This window comes from Homo sapiens, chromosome 2 (assembly GCF_000001405.40).
Source record: "Homo sapiens chromosome 2, GRCh38.p14 Primary Assembly".
Classification (NCBI taxonomy): Eukaryota; Metazoa; Chordata; class Mammalia; order Primates; family Hominidae; genus Homo; species Homo sapiens.
In genome coordinates, this window is record NC_000002.12 from 18,973,197 (window position 1) to 18,993,038 (window position 19,842).

The 19,842-nt window shown below is 36.2% G+C and overlaps 2 long non-coding RNA genes across 2 annotated transcripts in view; one reads left to right on the plus strand and one right to left on the minus strand.

Moving 5' to 3' along the window:
* Positions 1-19,842, plus strand: part of LOC105373456 (uncharacterized) — a 529,181-nt gene that overhangs the window by 413,021 nt on the left and 96,318 nt on the right. The gene's annotated exons all lie outside the window — the stretch shown is intronic.
* LINC01376 (long intergenic non-protein coding RNA 1376) overlaps positions 13,255-19,842 on the minus strand; it is a 40,521-nt gene continuing 33,933 nt past the window's right edge. Inside the window, exon 4 of the long non-coding RNA NR_135287.1 lies at positions 13,255-14,672. This is a non-coding gene — a long non-coding RNA (long intergenic non-protein coding RNA 1376). The remainder of the gene's footprint in view (positions 14,673-19,842) is intronic.

Below are 19,842 nucleotides of genomic sequence, written 5' to 3' on the forward strand. Positions count from 1 at the left end.
TGTTTGTTAAATAATACCTCAGTGTGGTCTTGATTAGTATTCCCCTAATCACTAATGACATTCATCAGCTCTTTATGTGTTTGTTAGTCAGGAGATTGATTTCAGTGTCAGTGCTTCCTTTCTGGATTCCCACGATTTGCGAGGTTTTGGTTGTTTTTGGTCATTCTTTCTCCCAGGTCGTCCTAGCCCAGTTGATGATTGTTTGCCTGGGACAGGGAACAGACTTGTTTCGGTTTCTTTCTCATGTGGACAGTCCTTTCAAGTTCTGATTTCTAGTGTCAGCTCCATGACTTCTAGCTTGAGCATCTGTGACAAATGGACGAGGATTTGGTGTCTTAGGTTTCTCATCTGTAAAATGGGGGTAATAATAAAACCATCAGGGTATATGATGGTCATATACTTATATCAAATGACATTTCTATCGACACTAGGTCTGTTTTGTACTTTGCTTCTCCCTCATTGCCAAGCTCTTAGATTTGACTTCTTCCATCCCTGCTTCTAGAATGGCCTGTATCAAGTTTCTACTGGCCTGCTCTACCCTATGTTTGTAACTGTTAGAAAATAATTAAGATACTATAATGATGATGATACCTAACAGTTTGGCAATTAATATGTGCCAAAGATGGTACTAAGCATTTTATAGATGTTACTTAATTTAATGCTTATAACCACTATATAAAGTAAATACAATTAGTATACTTATTTGTGTATACAGTTGTCAGCAAACTTCATGTATAAAGGACCAAATAGTAAATATTTGGGGCCTTCAAAGTCCTTGGTCTCTGCCATTATTCAAACCTGCTATTGTAGTATGAAAGCAGACATTGACAATATAAAAAATGAATATTCCAATAAAATTATTTACAAAAAGAGATGGTGGCAGACAGACTTGGCCTATGACCTATAACTTGCCTGCCCTAGAATGTTGCCTTTGATGCAGGAGTGAGAGCTACATCTCAAAATTGTCGTCATGCCTGTAGGCTTACCTAAGGAATGGGATGATTTTTTAGAACGTGCAGCAAATGTTCTTGTTTAACTTTGTCAAATATGTATTGAGTATTCAGGGTGTGCTAAGCACTACCCCAGGTGCTAAGGATACAGAAATAAATTAAGGCACAGTCTCTGTCCTCTAGGCTCAAAGAATCGTGGTAGGAAATTCAGGTAGACAAACATGGAATTCATAAGTACTAAAATATAAATACACAGTCAGTGCCACAAGAAAACAGACAAGTGGCTCCATGAGTTCACAGACATCACAGGGCACCTACTGTGTTCCAGTCACTAAGATGGAACCTGGGGATACAGAATACATGAGGCAGACACAACCCTCACCCTCACTTAACTGGGAGTTTAGTGGGGAAACTCTGTTTAAACAAATAATTTAGCAAATATTTACAAGTGTGCAAAATGCTGAGAAGAAGTGGTAAATACTATGAGAGCATATTGAACATGTGGAATCTGGGAATAGAGAATTTGTCTGGTATGACCGGATTATGAGGTGGTGGAACATGAACTGAAATGTGAATTAGGGCCAGACCAGAGGGTTTTGAACACCAAGTTAAAGAACTTGGGCTTTATTCTGGAGGCACCTGGTAGGCATCAAAGATTATTGAACAGGTGAATGACAAGACTAGTCCTTTTGAAAGAAAACTCTGGCAACCATATGTAGAGTAATTTGAAAGTAGAGAGAAATGAAGTCAACAGACTCAGTCTCACCACAGCCTTAATGGAAAACCATTTAATGAATGCATGAAGATAGCAGAAGAGAAGATGCTGACGGTTGTTTGGCTGTTCAATAATTCCAAAAAGAGAAGTGGGTGCTCCCTATAAAGGCTTTAGTAAACATTTTAATGAGTAGCATATTAATTGTCTGTATTATTTTTGGTATGGTAGTGGGTCATTACTTATCTATAAATAATATTATTTGCCAAAATACACTGAGCTAAACTTTTAATCTTTTAAATATTTCAACATAATACTTGCCGAGTATTGGCCTGTTAATTTTCTTCAAATCTACTTTCTGCAAGTACCATTCAAAACCAAAATGATCGTAAGTCAGTGTAGTTACAGACTACAAGGTAATGGCATCCAAATCATATGAGATTTGCCCTGTGACATGACTATTTGTTATTCTGGGTCAAATACTTTATAAAAAGGATACAAATGGTGTGCTTTCCTGCTCTATCAGACTTAATAATGGAAAAGATTTCTAAAGGTGCTTCTCTAATTCAGTGGCTTCACCATTGATACGATCACTAAAACTCAACCCTTAGAGTAACGTTTGATTCTTTTCTACATTTATTAATAGTTACCAAGTGTAGTTGGTGGCCCATTTAAAATGTTTCTCCCCTTAATCTTTTCTGTTCCGTCGTTACTTCCACCATCTCAAAGGATTCATAAATTTTGTTTCGGGAGCATGTCAGAAAAAAGAGATAGTGAGAGATAATAAGAGTCTTGACGAGGACAGTGGCTTCTGGATAAAAGGCCTTGGCCCAAGCAACGCCAAGGCTGTCATCTGCCTGGTGACACCAAAGTTTCATTGTAAATATATAGCAAAGCAGGAATCCTCTTTGGAAGCCAAAATATCTCACAGGCAGCAAAACAGATGGAAGAGCTGTGAATAATAAAAGGTCTTACAGGACTGAATCCAGGAAAGGGAGGATGCCTGTAGGTGAGGAAAGGGTTACAGGTCCCCCACGGCTCTGTTCAGCCACACATACACGAACAGGGTATACACAAAAACGCCATCCTAACTGACAGGCAGCTGATCATTTCTGCAGCAGACATTGGTCTTAATATCTGCATCCTAATTTATTTGACATCTGCAGAACATCCAAAGACAATATTCAAGTATGGGATGGGCAATCCGGCTGCTTTCTGAGTTCATCAAATATCTCACACTCCTTTTTCAAATGTTTTCAGTTTTGCAAAACTCAAAATGCATTTTGCCAAACATGTTCTCTGTTAATGTTTATTTAGAAGGGAATTTAATCCGTATGCTGCTGGTACATTTACACTTAACTCATCGAAATGTTTTACTAGAGTCATTTGATGTCCAAGAAACCTTTTGAGTCTTTTTTATAAGCCTCTTCAAGCCCATTTTGCTTCGAAACAGGAAGTCGCCTGTTACTAACCATAAATGAATGCACTCCCCAGAGGATTTGGTTTCATTTAAGACACTGAGAGACCACAAGGTCTCAGCCTACCCTGAACTCCACAGAAAAGATTTTTTCCTGAACCTACCGAGAATGAGCCATGCACAGATGAGGTGCTGTTATTATTTTCCAAAACGAAATCCTTTATGAAGAGGCATCTTTCATACAACTCCTGGGAAAGACGGTTACCGAAACAGAGCGCTAAATCATTGGCTTTGCGAGCTGCACCTGGTCAATGTCACTGTCTCCTATGAATCCACTTACCATTCAGAGCTCGTTTGCCAGTATTAATAGAACAAATAAAATGGAATGGGAGATAAAGATACCGACATAGTGATTTCTTGCTTCAGGAAAACCTTCCTGAGTTACAGACCAATACAATGTTCCCAACCACAAGCCAGGGAGCCAAAGCTGATATAAACACAGCATCCAAGCCACAGAACATGACTTGTTTAAGGCTTAATTCTGTGAAGTAAGGCAGGAAACAAGATTTATCCTTCTGGGAAACTTTTGGCATTTGCCTCGGGCTGGGCCTGATTACTCTCTGCCGTCCTCACCATCCATTACAGCTATCTGAAGGACATCAATTTTTTGCCCAAACTAAGGCAAGAGAGAAATGTCTCCATCTGAGTCCTGTAGAAATCTTTGTGTTTGACGTGGCATTAAACAACCAAGAGCGAACTGCCCTGTTGTGTGTTGCTGCGAGGATCATCGTTGCTATCTTAGGCCTTTTGGCTGTGAAGGGGAGTGAAATTAGTTGGGCTAAAGCCATTTTACAAACATAGTAAAAATAAATTACTACACTTATTAATTGAATCTTAAACTTGTCATTATGGCAAACTCTAAATTATTCCAAGAGCCTTCACTGAGACTTGGCAAAAATATTGGGTGCTGGAGGTCAGTTTTCATGTATGAAATCCAGCTTAGGTTATAACTGCACAGGCTACAGAGTAAACGTTCAAAGGATGAATGGGCCATTGAGAAGTAAATCAGACTCCCTGAGACTCTTAAATGAGTGCTGGAAGATTTCAAGCCATCAGTGTGGTGGGCTACCAATAGAATTGAGCTGTTAATAGAAGATAATTTGGGGCTGTTTAATATCAAGTATTTTTCTTTGTCATGTGTGTGTAAGAGTTTGTTTTTCAACGTGTCTTGTGTCTTTATGTCATGTTATTTTAGTTGTTTTAACTGCATGCTGATTGGGCACCGAAAGCTGTGAGTTAGTCCTTGGCCCACATTGTAATTCCTGGGCACAAGGCTGGAGTGTTTACACTGCAGGGGGATGTTCAGACTCTGACCCAACTGGGAGACATTTCGGTTAACATTTGGCTTTACTTACTTGTCCTAAATACTACATTATTAATGGGGTATTAATATTAGATCATTTCATTGGTTCCTTTCTTTTCTCTTTCAAATCATATTTTAAAGGCCACTGTCCTTAGAATAAGGTTTAAACCTCTCTTTAATGTCACTGCCTCAGAATTTGGCATACATAAAACTTCTCAGGACACTCAAGTAAAAGAATTAAAACAACTCAAGCAAAAAAATAAGAAATAAAAGACGAGCAAATATATATCTTTTCAGTGACATTGGAAAAACGAATGAATTCATTCTTCAAATTGCTTATGTAAAAACTTTTATATCCAAATTCTGGTGTCACTGCTAATAGTTCATTAGGCCCCGGGAAGTGACCTGATTACATATAACCCTAATGTAGTGGCCAGAAGTAAATATTTTACAATTATTTTCCATTTTGGTCTTATGAATTATTTTTCAAAACAGGTCTACACAGTCTCAATTGCCTTATTAATTTACGTAAGATCATTTGTGGTTCAAAGCTACCTATATACATATTTATTGATTCAATGCCAGTCTACTCTTGCCAGAATAAGTCATGGAAACATCATGCCTAATGGTAGAAATGGTCTCAACTGGAAGACTATTTTATGAATTTACCAAGTTCATCACAACACACATAACCATGATATCTAAATGGAACAGCTTCAGAAAGCACGTGAGTGTTTTACATCATGGCATAGATGGTATATATTTTACTGCCTGGGTATGAATGGTAAGAAAATGACCCACTTCATTTTAGTGCCATTTTGTTCCCAGAGAAATCATTGTTTGCTTTGGGTGCTACTAGCAATTCAAGCTTGAATGTGTCATTTTGTCCCCATATCTTCTGCTCCTATTGTGTCTTCAGTTTTTGTTAATGGTATCAATGCTGCCATTAACTTTGATGTCTCCCAATTTGAAGGTCAATAAAAGAAATGGTTCCTGTTGCATAGAACATAGAATCCAAAGACACTTTCTAAGTGGCCCCATTCAACATTTGATTTTCTTTAGTGACTAGAATTTCTATTTTATCTCTCACTAGCATTATTAGGTAAGCAATTTATGTATGGGTACATTAATATATATTATGATTTTTATGTGCATTTAGAGATACATGTGCATAGAATGCTATACATGAGCAACTGTTTTTATGAGTGCACTCAAAACAGCAAACCAGAATTATCAACAACAAAAATAATAACGAAGTGCTATTTAGTGCTGTTTTCTTATATGTAATTCTAATCAATCCTCATTTTAAAAATCTATGATTATTTTCTGCTTTTCTTTCCCCCCTCCTCCTTTTATTTATTTATTTTGTGTGTGTGTCTTCTCATTATTATTCTACAGCTTTGCCAAATAATATGTAGAGGTTCAGTTAAGATTAGGTAGCGAAGAGTGAAGTTAGGCTTTGATGCCAGTTAGATCTGACTCAGAGCCAAGTTCTTTTCACCAAAGCCACACCTTCTTTGAGGTTGAGGGAGGAGGTGGCATCTTAACTCTACTATTTTTATGTTTTTGTCACCATTGTAGAGGGCCATTGTGGATGAATTAGCTTCTTGGTATGCATACACACATGTGGATCTTGTTTATGAATAGCTATGGGAGAAACAAAGTCAATGTTTATTTCTATGGTGGAAATATAGATTTTGCAAACATGCTTCATAATACCATCCAATTATGGCAGCTTCTGGGATAAGAGGAGCAAAGCATCTGGGACACAGTTTAAGGTGGCACTCACTCTCAGGGTCCTACAAGTGCAGGGTCCACAGCTGAGAGTGAGTGCTACCTTAAATTTTATAGGCTAAGCACCTCACTTGCCCACCCCTAGTCCTGGGCCTGCATTCACAATTACCATACGCTCTAGTTCCACTGAAGTTAACGCTAACAATTTGGAGATGTATTAAACACCTACCATGTGCCCTCTCTTGTAGGGAAAGTAAAAATAGTTCCAATCACATTGCATAGGACTGTATTGGAGAAAAATGTCATCCAACTGGACAAAACAAGGCCTGCATTTAGGAAACAATCAAATCAGGTACATCGTCAACTCCATAAACTAGCATGACCGCGTGAGATCACAGAATGAGGGAGTCAGTATGGTGGGTTGTGGAGGACATTCTTGAAGAGGTCCTGAAGGAAAAGCCATTGTGCTGCAAATCGGGGTGAGGCAGGGCCCTGCTGGAGAGACTATGGATCTCCAAGCAGAGGCTGATTGATGTTGGCTGTAGGAAGCCATTTATGTGTTTGAACAGGGGAACAATGTGCAGAAAGCTCTGAGATGGATTATGCATCATTTTGCTGGAGTGGGTCAGGGTGATGGATGGATGGTGGATCCATCCAAAATAAGAACACTGTTTTAGAGTGGGAGCCTATTAGTTTAAAATTCATTTTAAAGTGATTACTGCTACAAAGTGGTTTTGATCTGTTACAGGGAAATTGAAGTTGGAAGAAAGGAAACAGTGGAGGTTGAAATATCCAAATCAGGCATCTTATTTATACCATTTTGTCATATTCCCATTTCTCTTGAAGTTGGCTCTACGATGCACTTAGCAGTTGTTGTTGGCTCTGAACTCTATTGTCTGAACCACATGGCTGGCCACTCTGTCATACGCTGCCTGTTCACTGAGCAGTTTGTGTGGGTGACTCTCGTCTCCCAGACTAGCTCACAACCCTGTAAAAGCTCATTCGGGATGGTCTGTATCTGTAAACTCTGGCAGCAACTGGGTACACAGAAGGCAATTAATACAGGTTTCACAGTTGTCTGCTTTAGAGGAATAATGTGGAGAGAAATTGAACTTGATTACCAAATGTGGAAAGGTCTGCATTTGTTGTACTTTGTAGTGTTTGGACTGACCTGAATGAAATTTCCAATGGCTAATTTCATTTCTAAGCCATACATGAGCCAGAAAACTCCACCTGCAGGGGAATAGTTTTTCATTGCCTTTCTTTTGAAAAGGGTCAGCACCCCATTTCCTGTCAACACGAGTTGCAGTAATAAGCAGGGATTGGCTACTTCTATGACAGTGGTGGTTGCTCAGGAAGAAGCCCCAGGACTCAGGCTTCTGTAAAAGGTTTTGGCTTAAGGTCAAATCAGAATGAACAATGCGAGATCCACATGCCTCTTGATATACAGATATCTGAGCTGGGGACACCGAGGCCCAAAACAGTTTACCAAAAAGGTAGAATTATGTAATCCTGTCCCTCAACAGGGCTTCTTTCCAGTTCAAGGTATCCTGGGACTAAACAGTACACATAGCAACAAAACAAACTTAACATGGACACTCTTTGCATTGTTAAATAAAATACACTCCCCGTAGTAGTGTGCAAATCAACAAAAGTATAACGGAGTGATGTGTCACTTATTTACCATCACGAAGAAGTGGACTATTTATTACAGATCAATATTACAAATAACTAAAGCCTGTGAATTTAAGAGCCAAAACTTCCAAAAACGTTAACCACATATGATGAAAATCATTCTAAACATTCCCTAGTGTCTTAAACATAGTCCTCAAAATATAGTTTGGCCTTCAATATGTTTAGAGGAGAAAAAAATGGAAAAAGGAATGGCCAGGCACATGGCCAGATGTTTTAATCCTGAGAACTAACTAGGAGAAACAAACTTCTTCTAGTCTGATTCCATTTCTTATTTTCTATGTCAAGAGGAAGGTATCCTTCTGTTTTTATATTTATTTTTATATTTATTCTTTATTTCCTTCTGCTCTTAGCTCTTCAGTTATTCTCTTTCTCATTGGTGGTTTTCCTTATACATTAGATGATTCCTGACTGTCACTTCCTTCTTCTCCCTTTTCATAGTTGAGATTCCCTGCTTGTCTGATTACATATACTGTTTCTATATGGTGCAACTAGTTCTGATATTTTGCAAAAGAGGCAGAGCATTCTAAAGAGAGGGCAAATCAGTAGGGCCACCAGTATAAAGCTCCTGCTTGTAATAAATCTCTTGAATAATATCTCATGGAATGTGTTTCTCTGGTCTCTGAGCTGGCACCTGAATGCTCATATCCATGAGCCCAATTTCTTGCTTAGACACTCCTTGCCTGCAACCTTCCTCCTCTCTGATTCCTCATGGTCACTCAGAGTTCCTGATTTCAAAATATCAGAGGACAGTTCTGAAGTTCTGATCAGCAGGCGAAACAATTGATCTTTTCCTTTATATGTCTCACTTACTGCCCATTATGAAGAGATAGAAAAGGGGATGGGTATACAAGAAACTTACCCTTGACATATAAAAGTGTACCCTGAGACAATTTCCAAAAAGTGAGCACTCTTACTAGACTAATTTTTTTTTCCTTTTAGAGTTAAGCTGCATCCAGTTCTTGTAGGTATGTATACAGTGGCCTTCTCTGTCTCCCTGTTACAGGTTTTAATTCTGGAGGACTTCTCAAAACCTCTCTCCACTGGTATCCTCATGTGTCTGAGTGATTAGGAACATTGGCTCTAGAGGCAGATAATTTTGGACTTAAATCTCAGGTCTTCCTTTAATTCATTATATAGCCTTGTACAGGTCACTAACCATTCTTTGCTTCAGTTCTCTCATCTGTTAATTGGAAAAGACAATATGTCAGTGCCTACCGCACAGGGTTTTTGTGAAGATGATGTATGAAAATGCATGTAAACTGCTTAAAACTGATTAGAGTATGACAATTGCCATGGAAATGTAGATGCCATTTTTATTTTTTATGTAAGACAAAGAAGGGGGTTAAAAATCGTATATTATCATCTAAATAAAATGCCAAGTGGTTTTAAATACAATAAAACTTTTATTTTTATTGAGAAAATCTTAAATATAAAATACACATAAAACATGATAAGTAATACTTTACTAACCTGACAACCGTCACTATGCCTAGTTGTGAAAACCTAAATGATATCCATTATATTTAGAAACAAAACACACATACATGTTCTGCCCTTTAGTACTCAATGGTTCTAGAACTTGTGGCTGTTACTACAAGATATTGAACACAAGTAGGAATACAATTTCCATAAGAAATAACAACTAGAAAACTCAAGAAAATTAACTGTAACCACTTAACATTAGTAAGAATTCAGTAGAGTGTGTGGATACTAAAAGTAATCAATAAGAAAATATAATGAGAAAAAATTAAAAGCCATCCAAAAACAGTAAAAGCATTGCAAAATCCAAAATATTAAGGAAAAAACTAAAACATCTAGAAACATAAAGGCAATTTTAGTAAGTCCTTAAATGAATCCTGCAAAGATTTTGAGGCAGCTTAGTAACTTTTAGAGGCAACATATCTCAGTGGTGACAGAGCCCCAGATTTCTGAAGATAGATGGACTGAAGTCAAAACTCAGTTCCAACTAAACACTGAGTGATTGTAGCAAATTACATAAAATATCTATGCCTCTTGGATTCTCCGCAAAAAAATGGTGATAATAATAGCACGTGCCTCATAAGGCTGTTGTATGATTTAAGCTGATGAGTTACATCAGTCAACTCAGTGCCTGGCACAAAGCAGACACTCAAAGAGATGTAGCTACAGGTTTTTTTTTTTTTTTCTTGTTTTTGTCGTTATGATTGCCATTGATGTTGTTGCACCAGTTATTTCAGACTTCACGTGTAGGTCCTAAACTGTCCTATGCAAACTCCTACAAGACTTTTCAAGATATAGTACTGAAAATTTTACTAAATATTTCATGAGGTGTTCACTTAAATCTCAAAATCATTGTCTATACCGTAGTTGAAAATCAAATAATAAAAATTTAAATAAAAATAAATTAAATACGTCTCTATACAGAGATTTATAATTGTATACTTACAAAACAGAATTTAAAAATAGATGTGAAGCTAGGAAAAATATTTGCAGCCCAATATGATAGATAAAAAATTAAGTTTCTTCATGACGGTCTCAAATATTCATCAATTTATGCTCTATCTGAATGTAAAAAAATAATTTACACAAGTGACTGGAAAGTACATTCAGTTGTATCAGTTTTACTAACTAGCATAGAAATGAAAATCAATAAGCAGTCCTGTTTCCTTCCTTACAAATTTATTGATGATAATCATGATGACGATGATAAGAAAGCGAAGAAGACTCAATGCAGAAGATGGTGTGATAGCACAGAGCCATTCATCTCCTACTTCTATCAATGAATAGTAAAACAATATTAAATTTCACAATATATGGCAGATAGTTTTAAATGTTCATTCTTTAATTTCACTTCTGAGACTCTATCTTAATCAGAAAGGTAGACAACAAATGTACAAAAATAGGAAATAAAACATTACTTACAAAAGTACAATAATTTAGTCCGAGCGTGGTGGCTCACACCTGTAATCCCTGAACTTTGGGAGGCTGGGGCAGGTGGATCACCTAAGGTCAGGAGTTTGAGGCCAGCCTGGCCAACATGGTGAAACCTCATCTCTACTAAAAATATGAAACTTAGACGGGCATGGTGGCATACACCTGTAGTCTCAAGGAGGCTGAGGCAGGAGAATCGCTTGAACTCAGGAGATGGAGGTTGCAGTTAGCCAAGATTGCACCATTGCACTCCAGCCTGGGCAACAAAGTGAGACTCCATCTCAAAAATAAATAAATAAATAAATAATTTTTTAAAAGTATGATAATTTAAATATTGGGATGTGGTTAAGTAAACTATGGTTTATTCATATTATGAGCTCTCATTGAACCTTTTAAGTTGGTATTTCGATAGTTAAAAATGTTTTTGTCTTATGTTTGTTATAAAAATAAGGCATATTATTATATAATATGATCTCCAATATATAAATATGGCATAAAACAACTAAATATATTAATTATACCTTTTCTGATGTTATTTTATATATTTTTTAAACTTTTCCTTTATGTGTATTTTTATACATTTTTAAGTGTGGAAAGAATAATATAAAATAAAATACTATCTTAACCATTTTTAAGTGTATATTCAGTAGTGTTCAGTATATTCACATTATGGCACAACATATTTCCAGAAATTTTTATTTTGCAAAACTGAGACTCCACGCATTCAACAACTCCCCGGTACTGCCTCCCTGTAGCCCCTGAAAATCACATTTTATTTTCGGTCTCTATGAATTTGACTAATCTGGATAGCTCATATTAGTGAAATCATACAGCATTTGATTTTTTGTGACTGGAATGTTTTACTAAAAATAATGTCCTCGAGGTTCATCCATGTTGTAGAATGTGACAGATTACCTTCCTGTTTTAAGATTGGGTAAGATTCCATTTCTTATTTTGTTTGTCCATTAATACCCTGATGGACATTTGGGTTTTGCGTCTATAAACAAGGGCATGCAGATACCTCTTCCAGACCCTGCTTTCAATTCTCTTGGATATATACCCAGAAGTAAAATGACTAGATCATGCCGTGATTCTATTTTTAATTTTTGGAAGAACTGTCATATTATTCCATAGCAGTTGCACCATTTTACAAGCCCGCTAACAGCACACAAGGGTTCCAGTTTCTCCACATACTCACCGTTTGGTAGTTTCTGGTTTCTGCTTTGCTTTATATTAGCTGTCCTCATACGTTTGAGGTAATACCTCATTGTGGTTTTGATTTACATTTAATGATTCTTCAAGTTATCTTTTCATGTGGTTGTTGGCTCCTTTATGTATGTTTGAACTTGTCAAAATGTTTAGAATTAACATGTACTACTTTTATATCACATAAACATAATTGGTATCAGTTTTATGGTATAGCAAGAGTAAAGAAGCTTCCTTGTTCTGGTCCCTGAAATCCCCATCTGTGAAATAAGCAGGACAGACTAGCTAATAGTCCCATCTGTGAGTTTTTAATAAAGGAAATATTTCCTGATTCCTATCAGTGTTGTAAAGATAGTACTTGCAGTTTCCTAAATTTTGGAATTATTCTGAAAGGAACAGGCGGGTGGGTAAATTAACAATTTGGTGGTGATTTTTCAGCATACATTCTTTTACTTAGTATTTCTAGCGCTCCAACTTTGTGGTAGGCATTGAACCAGGGGCCCAGAATACAAACATAATGCAGTCTGGATTTTGCCTTGTTAAGTTGCAAGTCTATTTGGGGAGGCAGACTTGTACGTAAATAATTACAATAAGTCTTGAAGTTGATATAGTACATGTGTAAATAAGGTTTATTGGTGCTGCAAAGGAAAGGACATCTGCTTCTAAGTTGCTAAAAATATGAAGATTCATCTAATAGTCAGAAAAGGGTCATAATGGTTTTCCCCCAGACCTTGTTGTTTACAAAATCTGTGACATTTAAACTTAGTGAGAAGAAATTTAATATTCACTAGCAAAGACAAAGCAGAATGTCCATGAGCATTTAACCATTATATTTTCTTTTAAACTAACAAATGGCTAACCTGTTTTCTATTCAATCAAATGGTATTTTAGAAATTGTGGTCTACACAAAGGATGTCTCTTGCTGGGCAGAGTAATATAATACATTCTGTGTGGAGTAGGAAACTTTAATGATATATGCAGTTTTGTTATTAAAACTGAGTTATATATTTTGCTCTGCTCTGGAAAATTGTGACCCAGTATAACATATCTTCACATTGTTTATAACTTGAGGAAAATCAACATTTTGGGTTCCCAGTTCACACAGTAGGAATTACATTTGTTTTGGCCAAATATAATTTATATAACTGCAAGGAACAATAAAACATGAACTCTACAGTGTTTTCTTACCTAAAAATAATATAGACCTTGTAAAATGGAAAAGATTATTATTATAAAGAAGAAGACAGTAACTTAAAAGGCTGAAGCTCATTTTACAACACTTTTTAATGCCTGTGCAAATAGGCAGACACCTGTGTCCCCATTTTTCTTGACCCCAGCCACAGGAGTGAGATTCCACACAGTAATAAATAACCTTGCAAGTAAAACTTTGAAATAGAATTTGCTTGATCAAGCCCAGTCCTTCCATGGTCAAAAGTCATTGTCTATGCGACTTCTTAAAATGATTCAGTACTCTTTATTGCTCTGCCTACAAAGATTTTTTGGAGGTGATAGAAGCATCTGGTCCATCTTATTAATATAAGAACCCCAGTTAGTGCAGTTAGTGAAGGGGCCATTATGGATTTAAGAGTTGAAAATGAAATGAATGAGTGAATAAATGGGTATTTCTCATTAAAGTCAACTAGCCTGTTCAGGAATTGACTCTATTACTTCATTATCAAAATAAAACTATGATCCCATTCTCAAAGATATGTGAGTGATAAAATGAGAAAAATATTCAAATTTGTTTTTATGAGATATATGCAAGAGTCACATTGAATGCATATTATAAACCTGTTGAATGCATTATTATTAAATTGCTGATTGCAAAATCAGTCACACAACCAGAAAAAATGGTAACATTTTGGGGGCAAGTACTTGTTCAAGGAACTAGTCCATTGTATCCTATGTAATCCTCTAAAGTCTAAACAATTCCATGGAGTTGGCAAAATAATCACGATTTTAGATGTGAAGAAGCGAAGGCTCATAAATCTTTTGTGATGTGTTCCAAACCACATGGCCAAGTGAGTAGTAGAGGTGACCCCAGACTATGAGTCTTATGATTCTACATACCATGCTTTTTCTACTGCACCACTTGATAATTTACTGGGTGAAAACTACACGCTAGTATCAGTCGCAGCATAATCAGATGGCTGATGGGTCTAACATTCCTACTAGACAACCCCTATCTACTCTTGCTAGTCTTAATTTTCCTCAGTTCAAAACATTTTCACATACAAATTAGGATTTTTCTTCCTAAGATTTTAAATTTTGCTAATTCCAGTGTAATTTTCAACATGTTATTTTAAACCCTATTATCTATTTTAAAATGGAATTTAAATTGCATTCAATATTATTAGTGTTTGTACTTGTATTACTTTTTCTACAGCAATCCATTTTTAATCCTTATTTAGAGAGACATTCCTAAGGCATCCTAAATGACGCTGACTTGCTTCTCATGAGCAGACATGAGTCTATTTTACTTTTAAAAAGTCTGTAGCTTCTCCAGGCGTTGAATCATCTGGCTTGGGGCCAGACACTAGAGGGTGCTTTAGAAATATTATTTGATGATGAACTCGGATGTTAGCCACTTGCTTTTCAGAATTCATTCCTGTAAATCATGGCTTTGAAAACTTGTCAGTATTTTGCTTTTTCTTTTGTGGATTTCTTCAAAGGGAGAAGGAATGTCTGAAAAGTAAATATTCAACAGTCATAACTACATCCCAAGGAGGGTGGAATAAAAAAATTATAGAAATTTGTAGATACATAAATATTTCTGTGAGATAAAAAGAGAACCCCCTGGATAGCTCACAAAGAGCCTACTGGAACTTTATCAGTCGGCAGAGCTTTGTCAGAAGAAAGTGGGTTTGTGAAGGGACAGGAGAACATGTGTTTCTCCCCATTCCAAACCCTCCTTTTCTGGAAGCTTGCTGTAAACAACCACTCACATTTGTATGAGACATTTTGTTTTTTTTTTTAAGAGGGACTTTTACATATATTACCTTAAGGGATATTTACAACAACCTATGTGGTGAGCATTACTATTTTTATTCTATAGATAAAATAAAACAAAAACAAATGACAGGTTTAGTGACAGTAATTCACTCACATAGATCCAGAAAGCAAATTGGCAGAAAAAGAATTTAATTATAGGACTTTATTCTACAATGTGCAGCAACCCCATCCTTCCCTCATATATGGTTGATGTAACTCTATTTCTCCCTTTTCACCTTCAGATTTTGTCACCAATTGTGTCCTTCTCCCCTTTTTATTCTTTTATTTTCTCTTTAATGTCCTCAAAACTTTAAAAAATAAATAAGTAAAATAAAACACACGAAGAAGAAAAACCAGAGGTCATGAAATATGAAAATTTCATGCTTCCCCTGACCTCAAAAAAATAGCATCACCAGCTACTGGAGCAAAAAAAAAAAAAATTCCTCTGAAGACTTACATTTTGAACTCAGCAGTTCACAATTTTTTAAGGCTTATCTGCTCACATATGCTGTGTTTGAAAGACTGGACATTCATTGCATCCAGCTCTTGTCACTGAAGCAGAGCTCTGAGTGAAGCACAGCTGAGACACAAAGTGTGCTCTCAGATTCCAGAGGAGTCAAAGCTCTCACTGGGAAGATTAGAAAAGGCTTCTTAAAAGAAGGGGAAAGAATTCTTTATTCTAGGCCTTGAATGACAACAGGATTTCAAAAGAACTCTTGAAGCTTTGGAAATAGCAAAGCCCCCAAGTCAATGAAGCTCAGAATATATGCAGAAAACAATGAAAATTTAACTTATTGGAGGCTCGCTTGCCTGAGGAAACCACAGGGAGCAGAGCCTGGCAAGCGAGCTTTAAACTGCTTTAGCGCAGATCTAGCTCAGAGCTTTCTGAGCCAGTAGAAATACCAGCATCATCCACCAACAGCAGCCATGGGTCATATGTGGCTATTGGGCACTTGAAAGGTGACTGGTTTGAATAAAAAACTGAAAGTTTAACTTAATTTTAATATTAATGTAAAAGCCAGATGTGGCTAGGGGCTACCATTTTGGGCAGTGCCAATCAAGAGAGACTTGAATTATAGAGTGACAGGTTATTACAGAATTGTAGATCTACCCACAGGAAGTAGACACTGACTGACTGGGGAGAGGAACTGAGATAATTTGGAGAGGCCAAGGTGAGAAAAGTATAAGATAGATTAATTGGAAGTTGGAATCAAAGAAGATGCCAAGGTTGTGACTGATAAATTTGTGAACTGCTGAGTTTAAAATGCAACTTATGCTCATTTAGCTTGTATGACAGATGTTTGTTCTCCACCAAATTTATGAATTTTTCCAATGTCAAAATGATGTCCATTCTTTCTTCTCTCAGTCAACATCCAGAACCCAGCATCATGCCTTACAGAAATATATGTTGTGCATGTGATATTTTCTTACAAACTCAACCATAGCTCTCTGTTAATGTTATAGTTAAATTAAATATCTAAGATGGATGAGAGCGACAAGAGTTGGATGTAGTGGATGTTCATTTAAACACAATATATGTAAGTAGGTAAGCCTTAAAAATGTATTTTTTTCTATATGTGTGTAAATGTGTGTGTGAGTGTGTGTGTGTGCGTGTGTGTGCAGGTGTGTACTGGTTTATTCTCCCTCAAATTTTTATCTCCAAAGCACTTGGAATTAAAATACATTATCTGTATTATTTTAAACCCATGAGAAACAATGTTCTTATTTCAGCTTCATTTCTTAATTATGGATAAAATATTCTGTAAAGTTAGCCAGTGTCCACTCCTTCATTCAATAAGCTAAAACGATTGTTAAAATAAAAACAGAAAATTTGACTTCTCCAACTGTAAGTATTTGATTACCCAAAGGCTTGGGATCAAAATATCAAAATCACAAGTAAAATCTCACATTAAACTTGGTTAAAAAATTATTTTCCTACAGTATTTTGCATAAGAGCATAGAAAAAGAATAAAACAACAGCAGCAACAGCAATGAAACTTCTCATCTCCAATGCAACCATTCTAATCACTAATATCTTTGTATCCACAAATGGACTCATCACTTGGGTGACTTCTCAAATAAATCTTAAATTGTTTTTGGCTCAGTAAATCCTCATATGAAGACATTCTGGGGGTGACTAGGCACCAAATAGCCTTCCATAAAATGTGTTATGGGCCAATATTCACTCAGTGACCTGGCTTCTCTTCTATGTGCTCATATGACATGAGCAAATGCACAGGCAGAGTTTCAAGAAAAAACATCGAGAAGTTAGTTTTCCCTTCGCATTCATTCAAATGATGCCTGGGCTAACCATGTTTGATGAAGACAGGGTGGATTTATCCAGTTCTTCAGGCAAGGGCTATGTGTATTCTATCTCTCTAAAAGTCTCATTTTGGAGAATCCTCAATTCATCAATAACTCCTGCAGCTATTACCAAAACCTTCCCCCTCCTTTTTTTAAACCTGAAAAGAAAGTGAAGCCCAACTGGTGGGGGTTATCAGGTTATCTGGAAGACGAAACTATGGAGATTTGTATTCTTATGCATTTTTTGTCTCACAACAATGGAAATCCTTGAACTTCCAGAGATATTATGTTCTAACATCTTAATCCTCTTAAAAACTAATTTGCATTATCTAACACTTACTTGAAATGTTGGGAGCAGAACTTTGGAAAGGGTTTTAGGTCTGGATCTTCCATTTTAACTTTATTGTGTTTTTAAGACCCATTTTTGAGTTTTCTTACACACACATACTGCTCCCACATTTTTCTACATATATATTTGAATATAGGCAATTAGCCATATAAACTCAGGAAAATAAAGCAGTTATCGATATTAGTATATTCATGAATTATCCCTTCATTCACAGAATCCTAAAATCTTAAAATTAAAATTGACCTTAAAGGAAGCTACCTTAAACCACTCTTACAAACTACTGTACTATTACAAGTATTGAATGCCTGGGATCAGAAATGGGAAGAATGCTTCCTTTTTCATGTTTTGCTCCTTTTATTTTTTTTCCAAATGTCCAAGTAGCCAAGTCTCTGGTATGTATCAGAGGAACAGTCAATTTTCAGAGTGAAGTCAAGTGAAAAGTATGCAGATGGCAGTGTAAATGTTAGGAAAGTTTGGGGAGAAATATGCCAACTATGTGCTGTTTTGTTACAGTAACTATAGAATCGTCTCTCCAATGCCACGGACAAGACCCTTGCCAAATGGAATACCCTATTTATAACCCTATCGGGAAGAGGAAATCGTGCCAGGAACAAGATAAAACTATTATCTGTATTAAGAAAAATACTTAGAAGCATGTTTGTATTTGAAAATAAATGTTAGTGGTTAAGAAAAAAAATAATGGTAGTTGTAGATCTGGGTGTTGAAACCTGTTGCAAGACTATTAATTAGTCATCATCTTATCTTCACTGCCATGTCTCTGCCAACTTACCTGTTTGAAGTCACAAATGGAGCTCATAAATGGGTTCTTTGGGAGATATGTAGAAAATAAACAATTTCCCCCACTGGGCAGATAGTTAAGAAATCTCCCCGGGCTCATATGTTTTCCTCCTGTTGGCACTGTTGACTCAGTGCCCATGTGGGATGTACTCCCAAACTGTCCTGCTGCTGGCAATGTTTTCAGTGCCAAGTATTTAGCCTGCAGTCCCAGAGGCAACAAAAAAATAGCCAAGTCCAAGGGAGTGCCATGAGCATATGGACCCTGGTCACAAGAGTGTCACACTGGGAGGGGCTTGGACATATGCCATGGGCTGCATCAGGACATATGCCATGGGCTGCCACCCCAAATAATTCCCTCTTCCCCAGGACCCAGTGGAACAGCTTGTTGAATAAACAAGAGACTGAAAGAGTGGTTGAACTGGCACCAGGCCAGTGTCCCTTGCCTTACCCACTGAATCAATGAAAACTTGGCATATACTACATTTTCAAGGAGCAGGGAAGCATGAAGGCATAATCTCTTTGTCCCTCCTGTGTTTTGTCACTTTGTCTTTTCTCCACCTACTTATCTGACTTGGTAGAATACAAACACTATATCATTTGGAATAAGACAAAATAAGGGTTGATTCCTGGCTCTTTTGCTAGCTCTGTGCCCCTAAAGGAAAAACAAAAAAAAAAGAATATTTAACTGATATATGCCTCAATTTCTTTTCAGTGAATGGTACCTACCTTGCTGGTTTGTGGGAAGGTTTAAAAAGGTGATATGTAAAGTGCTTTGCACTGTTTCTAGCACATGGTAGGCAATAAATGTGAACTTGTGTATGGCCAGATGCACACATTAAACTCTGGATAGTCCAGTTAATTACTCCATAATATTATTAGTTAATAATCAAATTTATTGATTGAGTTATATTGTAATATAGAATATTGTCCTCTAAGGATATAGTTATTAAAATAAATAAATATGTCCTCTAAGGATATATTTATTAAAATAAATATAAAATAATCTAATCGTTAACCCTCTATCAAAATTTCTGATAATACTGTAATTATACACAATTATTAAAGACATAATTTCCATGTATTATATATCATGTATTGTGTATTTTATACAAACACATTACATATATCACAATATTATGTATTATATGTTTTATATGTCATGTTATATTATGGCCTGTATTACATATTATGGATTTGTATGCCTCACGTATATGTCACATACATATCACATTTAATATATTGTATATGTATTTGTACTATTATCAATTTATGTTTATATCAATTACAAATTGTGATATGTAGGCTTATCATTACATGTAAATCACTTAAAAAACTATAAACATATGATTAATATACCATCTATTAGGGGCTTATTTGTCATACAGATAATTAGATATAATTATTTAAAATAAT